This window comes from Homo sapiens, chromosome 8 (genome assembly GCF_000001405.40).
Source record: "Homo sapiens chromosome 8, GRCh38.p14 Primary Assembly".
Lineage (NCBI taxonomy): Eukaryota > Metazoa > Chordata > Mammalia > Primates > Hominidae > Homo > Homo sapiens.
Window position 1 is genome coordinate 131,937,696 of NC_000008.11, and position 12,219 is coordinate 131,949,914.

At 34.6% G+C, this 12,219-nt stretch overlaps 1 protein-coding gene across 11 annotated transcripts in view; it reads left to right on the forward strand.

The window, feature by feature from the left end:
* The window catches only part of EFR3A (EFR3 homolog A), a 109,550-nt gene that overhangs the window by 33,603 nt on the left and 63,728 nt on the right, over positions 1-12,219 (forward strand). For 7 of the 11 annotated variants that reach the window (NR_136616.2, NM_001323554.2, NM_001323558.2 and 4 more), the window contains exons 2-4: positions 2,804-2,880; positions 7,050-7,177; positions 8,788-8,938. Coding sequence is in view for 9 of the 11 variants with exons in the window: in NM_001323558.2 (NP_001310487.1) it covers positions 2,804-2,880; positions 7,050-7,177; positions 8,788-8,938 (356 nt within the window). In the remaining 2 variants the exon portion in view is untranslated. Of the gene's footprint in view, positions 1-2,803; positions 2,950-7,049; positions 7,178-8,787; positions 8,939-12,219 lie in introns of all 11 variants that reach the window. The other 4 variants (NR_136615.2, NM_001323555.2, NM_001323553.2 and 1 more) reach the window with 1 other exon arrangement.

The following is a 12,219-nucleotide window of genomic DNA, read 5'->3' on the forward strand; positions in this document are numbered from 1 at the left end:
TATAGAATTAAATTTAAAGGAAGAATTTATATTGCTTAGACTTGCCAGTTGTTGGAGACTTTCTGTGATATGCTCATCCCCCTCTTTTTTTTTTTTTTTTCTTTCTTTTGGGAAAGAGGAAGTTGGGAAGAGGTCAAAAATATATTAGTTTTGGGACCCAAGTGAGTTTGTTGGAAGGGATCAGAAGCTAGGATAAGGAGGAACTAAAGGAATGCTTTAAGGAAAGGGGGTGTAAGTAGGCTTGCTTTCTTATTTAACCTGTATGAAAAACCTACTTTTATTAAGCTAGCAATATAAGTACTTTAATAGTATCTTATTTAAGCTAGTTGGCTTTGCTTGCAGAACTTGATATGGATATTATCAAGTTCTTGATAGCTTTATATTTGATGTCAATGACAAGTTAGGTAAGTTACAGTACTTCTGTGCCCTCTGCTAATTAATTAGAAGTAAAGTGAACTAGGCACTTGCTGAACAGTAGGTAAAAGGATCTAGAGTCAGAAAGATCGACTAGAAAATAGTCTGATACAACATGAAGGACTATGTTCAGGTACCTGCAGCTGAACTCGAAAAGCCTTATGAATTTACTTCAACAAGGGAGTCACCTACATTTCTATACTTGAGTAGGTCCAATGATTTTATTTTACTTGTTCTGATATTTATAAGTAGAATATTCATATTTATTTAAAAGTCTATATAGTAATTTCTTTTGTGATTATTATTGCCAGTTATTTCAACCTTACATTGTCTTTGATATAATTTTATAAAAACCTGAAATTGTAAATGAAAAATTTTAACCTATATGCCTTCTTTATAGTGGGTAGTTTTTTATTTTTAGTAAGTGGTCAAAAAGGTATTTTTGTTTTGTGTTGGGCCTTCCTGAGAAACTCACTGTGATCATTTATTTCCCTATATGGCAATGCATCCCTCATCTGTTAGGCACACACATTTCTGCAATTATGTTCATTGGTCATGATTTATAGAAAGCTAAAATATTTAAAGTAATTTAGAAATTTGCTGGTACTTGAGTTTAGTGTGGCAGTTACTCTTTGAAGTCATCAGGTCTGGGTTGGAATTGCAGTTCCTCAGATCCTCCCCAGCTGGGTGTTACTGGACAAAATTGGCCTCTCTAAGCTGGTTTCCTCATTTATCCAATGGAGATGATCATAACCCTCAGAGAGTTACGATAGGAGTGAGTGAATAATGTTGTAACATCCTTAGTACAGTGCTGTACACGTCATCTTCAGAAAATGGTAATTGTCCCTCCTGCTATTGATATAGTTATGGTTGTGAACCATATGTAAAATTTATTGTGATTTTTAAATTATGGGCTTACAACAAAGATTTTTATGCTATTGGGAATCCTATCTTAAGGGTCCTTGATCATCATCTGCTTACCCTGATTGTAATACTCCTCTTACTGCATTACTAATAATAGCTACCATTGTATTGAGTGCTTGCTTAATAAGAGCTTTATATACAATTTTATTTAATTCTTATTATTATGAAGAAGGCATTATTACATCTATTTTTACTGATGGGGAAACTTGTGTGTAGTAAGACAAAGTAACGCACCCAGCCCAGCTGGACGGAGGGAGACTGATTCACTTCAGATCTGTCTGTTCCAAAGCCCATGTTCTTTAACCCATGGCTGTCCACTAGACACTTCACCATTTGCTTATCTGTCTCTCCTGGTAAACCTAAGCTTCCCAAAAGTGGGAACTGGACATTGTTTGCATTCCAAGGTTACATTTATATTTCAAGCTCTTTTAAACTAAAAGCAGTGTATAGTGTATAACATCAGAAATGTTAATGTAAGTGAAACTTAATAGCTTATTAAGAATCTTTCTTATTGAAAATAACAAAATTTCCCATTCTTACAGAAAACTTGAAACATTAGGACTTGTTTTTTAGACGTGTGGCTAGTCTGTGCCATGCTAACAATTTGAATTTACTATATTTGGCTTTGCATTAGTGTTCACTAAGTACTCACTTAATCTTCTTTTCAGGTTATAAGCTTCTTTCATCATTGCAATACAGGACCTGGCTCAGTGCTTGTGTGCTTAATACATATTTGATTTTAATTTATTTTAGTGTCAGTATTAATGTTGATCTAAAGTATTTTTAGATTATTTCAGTTGTTTGGGATTCATCAGTGAGCAAAACAATGATCCCTGCCTTCATCTGAGTTTGTCCTGGTGAGGGGGCACAGATGAGGACCAGTAAACACAATAGAAAGTTTATTTAATGTGGTAGGTGATAAGTGCTATGGGAAAAAGAAGGTAGAGCAGGGTAAGGGTGGTCAGAGAGGCGTAGATGAAGAATTGAAGAAGGTGACAGAGTTATTATAGCTGTTAGTAGATACTTGGGCATGCCCCAGGCAGAGGGAACAGTGAGAGTTAAGATCCAAAGGAGGGGGTCTAGCTGGTTAGAATTAGCAGGGAGACCACTGTGGCTTGAGTAGAGTGGATTGCAACAGGTGGGTGGGGGTATGCCGGAGTTGCGGGCAGATGACATCAGAAAGGAGGTAAAGGGGGCACGGATGATGTTTTCACTTTGTCAGATGAATTTGGCGGGATGTGTATGCATGTTACCTAAAAATTCTTAGAAGCTGTGTGTCTTTGGAGTAAGGATAAGAAATTTAACTTTGTCTTTTCTTAATCACTGATTACATTTGTATGTCTTTATTTGTGACAGTTTGAACTTTGTATTTTATATAGCCCATTAATATTCAGAAACTTGAATTTCCAGGCCTGTTTACAATATTAATAATATCTGTATTTCTTGATTTTTTTTTTTTTAACAGGAGTATGCTGCTGCTGTTCCGCTTTGCGTCCTCGCTACAAACGCCTGGTGGACAACATATTCCCTGAAGATCCAAAAGTAATTTGATCTACATCTACTGATCCTTCTCTTTGCTGACCCATTCTGCCCCCCGCTGACCTCCTTAAGGTTTCCCTAATTTCATTTCTCTACTTTTACCCTTACATCTCATCATTTATACTACTTTTTTTATACTTTTCTTTTTTTTACTCTTAAATGACCCATGCTTGCTTGTCTAGTTTTCAGATCCTTTTAGTAGATTAGGCACAAATCTAGAAAAATGGACAGTTGATGTTCTTTTATAGTTTATATAGTGTCTAAGTAACACTGTCGCATTAATTTATGTTCATTAATTTATGAACCAGTGCCAGATTATTTAAACTAAGTGCTCATGATACCACTGTGAACAGAGAGAAGGTTTTCTGCTCTCATTATGCACATATATAAGTAAATTGGTAATTACAGTTTCTTGTAAAAAAAAAATGTTGTACTAGACAAATGAAGTATGGGCTGCTCCTGGAGAAGATAGGAGTGATACCCAATTTGGGTTGAGGAGAAGAAAGCCTGGAGGAAATAAAATCTAAGCTAAGATCCAAAGAATAAATAGGGATTGACCACACAGTTTTTAGAAGAGAACTGAGAGGTAAAGAAAGATTGTTTCAGGCAGAGTTTTTCTTTTTACTTAAATACTATTTAATTTTTGTATAACAATTATTTTATTTGTGAAGATTACTGGTTTCAAAGCAACTGGTTGGGGTGATTTTGTTTCACATTGCCTCAACCTTTCTAAGACTTCTGTAGTCTCCTGTTAAATGAATAGGAACAAAAAAAAAGTTACATGGCTTTTGACTTCCAAAATTTGCTTTATTTTAAAATGTAACAAACTGTATAAAGCTTTTGATTATCTTAATATTAACTTAATGTTGATGTATCTTATTTTTAACCAAATCTGTTTAAACATTCAGTTATGTAGAGGAGGTTAATCAATTAAATATTATTGGCTGCCAGATATCCTGGAAAATTTGTGGCATATTAAAAACCCTAAGATATGGTACTGCCTTGAAGGACCTTTCCATCCAGTAACTGACATAAAGCAGAAACATACTAAATATGAAATTACAGTGCATAAATCAGTAAGTAAAATGCTAAGTAAATCAGGTGGAAAGTTTTTGCCTCTAAAGCAGGGAGGTATCACTGTGGGTTGGGAACCTCCGGGAAGCATTCACAGAGGAAATGAGATTTGCTGAGCTTTGAAGTATGTATACCATCTGGAGAGGTAGACAAGATTAGTCTCTTTATTGCAAGTGAGGGGAAAGAGAAAAGACATGGGAAAGCAAGACATATATTTGAAGCCTAGAGCAAGTTATCCATCAGACTTCAAGCGAAGGTTTATATAACCTAATTGTAGAGTGTAAGGGTGGTAATCATGTTGACCATGATTTCTCATTTGAAATTTCAGATGTTATCAATTAGTAGACTGAATATCCAAATAATTATTTTCCTGAGAAGTCTGGGACATATGGTTACTGAAGGTAAGGTGGAGGCCAGATTTTAGAGGATTGTGAATGACAAGGAAGGCCTCTACTATAGTCACTTTAACTTGTAGTCAGTGAAGGAGCTTTGAACACTTGATCATTGAAATGACCATAGGTAAATTAGAGAAAGAATCCTTATTTTTGCCAAGGATTTATATAAGATTTGTTTAAATAGCAATCTTTAAAATAAGATTTTAAAAAAGGAAAAGATCTACATGAACCTTGAATATATATGGCAAACATTACTCAATTTGCCATGTTTCTTATTTTTAACTTGTTAAAACAAACAAATCTTGTGATATGTCCATAATCGGTCAGACAGTAGGTACCCAAATGCAGAAGCAGATGTCATAGTCCCTGCCTTGAAAGAGAAATCTAGTAAGGGGGACAGATAAACAGTTTCTTAAAATTAGTAGCCAGATGATCTTGGGCAAGTCCCTTGTTTTGTCATCATGTAATGGAAGTAATAAGTAGTACCGATCTCATAATGTTCTCATGAGGACTAAATGAGTTAATGCAGCTCTTTACTCACTGTTGCTTTCCTAATGTCTATCATTGTGCCTGGCACATAGTTGGCACTCATTATTTGTTTAATGAATGAAAAGATAATCTGATAAAATATAATAGTGGAGATAAGTACTGTGAGGTAGAAGAACATGTAGTTGGAACATCTCACCCAAACTTGGAGTGGGGGCTGTTGGGAGGGTGCAACACAGTATTGGAGGAAGCTAAGACCTAAAGGATGAGTAGGAATTATCCAGGTGAACTGGAGAAGGGTTCCTAGGCAAAGAGATGAGTTGAGTGAAAGAAGTCTTGCACAAAATATATGATTTGTAAACTGTATGATTCTATTTATGTCAGATGCATGCTGATTCATAGTGATAAAAAGCAGAGCAGTGGTTGCCTGAAGAGGGAGAGATGGCCTGCAAAGGACATGGGAAATCTTTTGTAAATGATGAAAATGTTCTTTTCCTGTTGAACATCCCTAATCCAAAAACCTGAAATCTGAAATGCTCTGAAATCCAAAACTTTTTGAGCACTGACATGATACTCAAAGGAAATGCTCACTGGAGCATTTTGGATTTTGAATTTTTGGATTAGGGATATCTAAGTAGTTAAGTATCTGCAAATATTCCAAAATCTGAAAAAATAGCCAAAGTTGAAACACTTCTGATCCCAGGCATTTTGGATGAGGTATCCTCAACCTGTATCTTATTTTTAGCAGTGTCTTCACAGATGTATACAACTGTCACATTTCCAATTATATACCGTAAGTCAATGCAGTTATTTATATATAGATTATTCTTCAATAAAATTAGTAAGGGATTAAAAATATAGGAGAGACACAATTTTATTTCAATGATGATGTGGAGGAACTGATACAGAGGGAGAGGTCAAAGAACCAGGAAGAAGAGAGGCTAACTAACTGATGGAGCCAGATCATGGAACTGTGTGTGGAAGACAGCCAGAGCAGAGGCAAACCAATTCCTCCTAGACAGGAAAACTAGATTGCTTCACTTTGCCTAGGGCAGGGTTTCTCAACTTAGGTTCATTTGACATTTTGGTCCAGATAATTACTTACTTTTGGGGGCTATTTTGTGCATTGTGAGATATTTAGGAACATCCCTGGCCTCTACCTACTAGATCCCAGTACCCACCTTCACCCATCTATGACAACCCATAATGCCTTTAGACATTGCCCTGGAGGGGCTCAGTTACACCTGGTTAAGATCTACTGGCCTAGCAGGCACTGAGAAAGCAGGGATGTTTTGCCAGTAAATACTAATGTGATGGCTTCCACCTTCTCTGGGAAAGAGAAGAGCTCATTTGCTGTCTGAGAGAGGAGAGAGGCACCAAAGTAGCAAGTTTGAGGAAAACGGAGTAGGTACAAAATATGAGGGGGTGACTCAACTAGGGAAACAGCAAAATAGCCAAAGAACATTGAGGGACCAGTTGAAGGTGAAAACACACATCTATACAATTTTTGTTGCAGATTCACTGTCTAACATAGTTTCCCTTTCTCCCTTCTCACCTATTCCAATATTCCTAAGCAACACTTACTTGGGTTATATATGGCCAAGAAACTTACGTGGTAACTGGGGAGAATTTATGCACCTGTTGCACATCATCTTTTAAAAGGCAGAGACAAATGACCGTTTTATAATCCCATATCAGGGACCTGTTGTTGCTTTTTAAATATGTTGAATAAGTATAGATTCTACAGCTCTGAATACTTTCTTGTTTATTAATTACAACAAAAACTTATAATGATATCACTGACTTCTGAATCATTAAAAAAGCCATATGTTGACTATCGTATAAGTAAATGAGTAAAACAGGCTTAATAACATTTCACATTTTTAAACTGAAACAAATTTTGTTTGAAATCTTTTTACATCTATATCCCATTCCCTATATACTACAGATAATTGAGCTATGTCTCTATAAAGGAAGATGTTAGAGTCTAATTCACTGTTTGTGCTTTGCATAAATGGGGCATTGTAAAAAATTTTTTGAAAGTTCTATGTATCCATCATGGTGAATGTTAGCACTAAGGAGGTTATGTGCAGAAGGGTTCTACATAAATATCGTTTAATCCCCAATCCAGAAAGGGAAATTGTAAAGCAGGCAACACTTAAAAATATAATAAGCATGAAAATATAGATAATCTATTTATCTTGTTATTGTTTTTAGGATGGCCTTGTGAAAACTGATATGGAGAAATTGACATTTTATGCAGTATCTGCTCCAGAGAAACTGGATCGAATTGGTTCTTACCTGGCAGAAAGGTTGAGCAGGGATGTTGTCAGACATCGTTCTGGGTAAGGAAACTAATGGCTGCTAAAATAGTATCTTTGGAAAATTCTTTCTAGACTTTTAAATCATTCTATAGATTATTTTGCCATTTAGTGAGACAAAGATAATATATAGAGGATAAAACATTGTAATATTATACAAAGAAATATATAATACTCCAATAGATGCTGTGGCTTTTATTACTTTCCTGGTGGTCAGGTTTTGTGAGTAGACTATGTTAGTTAACTGAGTTACTTTTTGCTTGTGTCTATTGATTTTTGAGTCTTTTCTAATGGGAAATAGTAGAAATTGACTCACTTAGTCTATCAGTGCAATACTGTAATTTAAAAATCAGTCTCTAAATTGAAAACAAACAGAAAGATCCTGTTAACCAGATCATTTTTTTTCACACAGCTTCAGTTTTACCTCTCGGAGGAGTAATAAGAGAGAACCGTGTTAGGCTTAGATATCAAGGCCCAGGAAATTCAAGCATGCTGATTTGGAACTGTGCTAGCTATACTCTTACTGATAAATAGAAGTCTACCATCCTACTGTATTCTCTGTGCTCAAACAATAATAACTTTGCAATTTGGATTATAAATACTTTTTCATTCTGTCATTTTATGATCCAAGTTTATTGGAGTATTCTATTCTCCAAGTGATATATTAGCTTTCTGTACCTTTGCGTTGTTACCACTTAGAACATTTTAGTAAGTGATGGCACACATAGCTTTATGGTTGATTGTTGAAGGAAAAGTATCCAAAGACTGAATTTTAATTTTGTTTTAAATTTACCCTTTAAAAATTGATACATAATATTTTACATACTTATGGAGTACCTGTGAGTATTTGTCACATGTACAGAATGTGTAAAGATCAAGTCAGGGTATCTGGGCTATCCATCACCTCAATTTATTTATCACTTCTGTGTGTTGGGAACATTTCAAGTCCTTTTCTAGCTACTCTGAGATATACAGTACATTGTCGCTAACTTTAGTCACCCTACTGTGCTGTTGAACATTAGAACTTATTTCTTTTATCTAATTTTGTAAGTTTGTATTCATTAACCAACGTCTCTTCATCCCTCCACACCCTGCCCTCGCAACCGCACTTACATGCCCTTCCTATCCTCTGGTATCTGTCTGAATTTTAAGTACAAGATGTAAAATCTGATGAATTGTAAAGTAATATTTATGAGATTTTTAAAATAATATTATGTTGCTGATAGTGTTTTATCTACTCATATTTAGACATATAAGTAGATTATATTGGAAATTGTCACATTAATAATTATTTTGGGTCAGATACAAGTAAATATGGTTAAAAGTCTGGAAAATAGAAAATGTCCATATTTACAAAGAAAAATATACACAAAGTTAATGTTAAGCTCACATAGTTAAGGAGAAAATGGGGGAATACAGTGTATATTTTCTGTATACTTCGATAAAAGGATTATTTTATAACCTACAAGATATTAGTGCTGTGTGAGAATTAAGATTTTACTTAGGAGTTACTAAATTTGCATTTCTTTCTTTGGTGTATTTCAATAGACTTATTTCAGTTCTTCCAATGTAAAGCACTTAGGAGAATTAAGAGAGGTAGAAATGCTTTGACATTCTTTTTCTCCTACATGTAGGTATGTTTTGATTGCTATGGAGGCACTGGACCAACTTCTCATGGCTTGCCATTCTCAAAGCATTAAGCCATTTGTAGAAAGCTTTCTTCATATGGTGGCAAAGCTGCTGGAATCGGGGGAACCAAAGCTTCAAGTTCTTGGAACAAATTCTGTGAGTAAAACTATTCTGTTACTAAATGTATGCTTAATTAGCATATCTAGAATTAATTACTTCTTAGAATGACTTTACCTGGTAAAGGCAAATTCCCTGAATAGGGCATTTGAACAGTCAACACAAATTAAGATAATTAGAATACTTTGCCTCTCAGTTTTTCTGCTGTTTCTTGTGAAATCTGTGGTATTAACTAATCATAATAGAATGTCTGCATGTAAATGAATGCATACTTGTCATTTTTATTTTCTCTTGGTCTTTTATTGCAACACTAACTTTGTGTCCTACATTCCTTTTGAGTTTCATGCCTTTTCATTAATTAAGGTTGTTTCCATTTTTATGGCTAGTATGAATAATGCTGCTATGAAGATTTGTGTACAGGTTTTTGTGTGGATGTATGTTTTTCATTCTCTTGGGTATATACTTAGTAGTGTAATTGCTGAGTCATGTAGTAACTGTGTTTAACTGTTTTCCAAAGTGGTTGCATTATTTTACATTCCCACCACCAATATATGAGTGTTGTTTCTCCACATCCTCATCAGTACTTGTTATTGTCTATCTTTTTTTATTTTAAGCATCCTAGAGCGTCTGAAGTGGTATCTCATTGTGGTTTTGATTTTCATTTCCCTAATGATTAATGGTAAAACTCTGCACGTGCTCGTTGACTATTGGGTATATTTTCTTTGGAGAAATGTCTATTCAAATCCTTTCCCTCCTTTTTTCAATTGTCTTTTTATTGTTGAGTTGTAAAAGTTCTTTATATATTCTTGATAAGAGTACTTTATCAGATATATGATTTGCAGATATCTTCTCCATTTCTATGGTTTTGTCTTTTCACTTTCTTCATGGTATGCTTTGAGTCACTAAAGTTTTGATTTTGATGAAGTCCAGTTCCTTTTTTTTTTTTCCTTTTGTTGTTGGTGTGTAATGTGTGTTTGGGGGGTGGTGGACAGGTATGCTTTCAGTTTCATATCTAAGAAACTATTGCCTAATCCAACATCAGAAAGGTTTACTCCTATAGTTTCTTCTAAGAGTTTTACAGTTTAAGTTTGTATTTAATAATCCATTTTGAGTTAGCTTTTGTATGTGATGTGAATTCAGCATTCAACTTTATCCACATTTTGCATGTGGATATTTAACTATGCCATTACTATCTGTTGAAAAGGCTATTCTTTCCCTTTGAATGGTCTTGGCAGTCTTTTAAAAATAAATTTACCATAAAAGTTAAGGGTTTATATGTTTATTCTTTTTTAGACTGCTTCTGAACTATTTCTGCTCACCACATTCATTTTCTTCTATCTTGAACCATTGTCCCTTAAAATAAGTTTGGGAAAGCATACCTACTTTAAAAAGAAAATAGTGATAATATTTTTTCTCTTGTCTTTAGTTTCATTGTATCACCTTCAGTCTTTCAGTTCCAACTTCTTCTCTGAGAAGCTTTAAGGCATTCAACCTACATGAATACTGTATGTTTCCATTCAGAGTTTTAATAAAAAAAATCATATATTACCTGCTATTGTTTATGGATAATTGTTTTCTGGTATAGGAAGAGGAAGTATACGAGGTGCTGACAGTGTGGATTCCAGAGTCTGACTACCCCAGTTTTGAACTACGCCTGTACCGCTTTCTAGCTGTATACCTTGAGCAAGTTATTTATTCTCTCCTTGCCTCGGTTTTTCATCTGTGAAATGAGGAGAATGAGAATACCAATCTCACAGGATTGTTGTGTGACATGAGTTGATATATATGATGCTCTTGGAAGAGTGCATGGCACTGTTAGTTATTACTGGTAGTAAGAGCGTTAAATAAACCCTCATTCAAAACTCTTAATATGATTTTTATCACTTACTTCAGCAGGAATATATTGGGTATTTCCAAGTGCATTTAGATGATGTGACAAGCTTAGTTTCAGGCAAGGTAGCTACTTAGGCTTCTCCTGTTTTGTTTACATTAGGTGAGGAATGTTTTGGGAAAGTGGCTTACTAGCTAGGGGGAGAATTTTAGTATACATTTCCGGAAATTTCTTTACTTTCACCCAGCAATGCCATTAGATTGTTTTAGTGAGTCATTTGGGCAAAAGACAAAATTCTCCAGTTACCTACCTTAATTTGAGTGAATTTTATTAAATGAAATGCCATGTTATCTTGACCAACATTAATTACCTAGTATTTCCTGGTGGTCTAATTTTCTTAGTGGTGCTGAGTGCCTTATGTTGTCAAACATGACCAGTGCTAATTTAAAATTTATTAATGGTGTTCGTACGGTTTAATTTGTTGACATTTTCCTCTTCATGCTAATGCCAACTCAATATGACAGTAATAGATGCAATGTATTTCGGTTCTCCTTTGTTTCAGAAATTGTGCTAGATACTTTTTATTTTTACCTCTTTTTTATTGTAAAGTGTTTCAAATATAGAAAAGTGTGGAGCATAATATAGTATAGCTATATACCTACTGATTCAAGAAAGAAAAATACTAAATAATATCAATAAATGATAATATAATTTTTGTTATAAATAATACATAATGGTAATACATGTTAATACTATGCAACATTGGTTCATGTTCTTTAAAAGAAATAATACAGTATATGCTAGATATTTTACATATATTAATTATGTCATGATTCTCAACCCTTCAAGCTTAGAAATATTATTTTCATTTTATAGATGAGGAATTACAGCTAAATAACTTGTCCAAAGACACAGTGAAGTAATGCTGTATATAATAGGAGGATTCAATCTTAGGCCTTTCTTAATTCGAAGCTTGTGTTCTTTGTACAATGATAAATACACTGTCATTATTATGGATTAAGATTTAGGGAAAGCACAGATTATGTTTTTTTCTTCCTCTTGTTTTCTAAAAGTTTATTATTAAAAAGTTTCTTTTGGGTTGGTGCAGTGGTTCATGCCTATAATCTGGGTGCTTTGGGAGGCCAAGGCAGGAGGATCATTTGAGGCCAGGAGTTCAAGAGCAGCCTGGGCAACATAGCAAGACCCCCATTGTTACAAAAATAAAATTAAATCAAAAAATTAGACAGGTTTGGTGGTGCGTGCCTGTAGTCCTGACGCCTTGGGAAGCTGAGGCGGGAGGATCACTTGAGCCTAGGAATTCAAGGCTCAGTGAGCTATGATCACACCACTGCACTGCAGCCTGGGCAACAGAGCAAGACCCTATCTCAAGAAAGAAAGTTTCTTCTGTATTAATGTTGTATTTGATGTTTTGTTTGTTACTTATTTTTATATTGCTTGTTAATATGACAGTGTATGAAATTAAATGTAT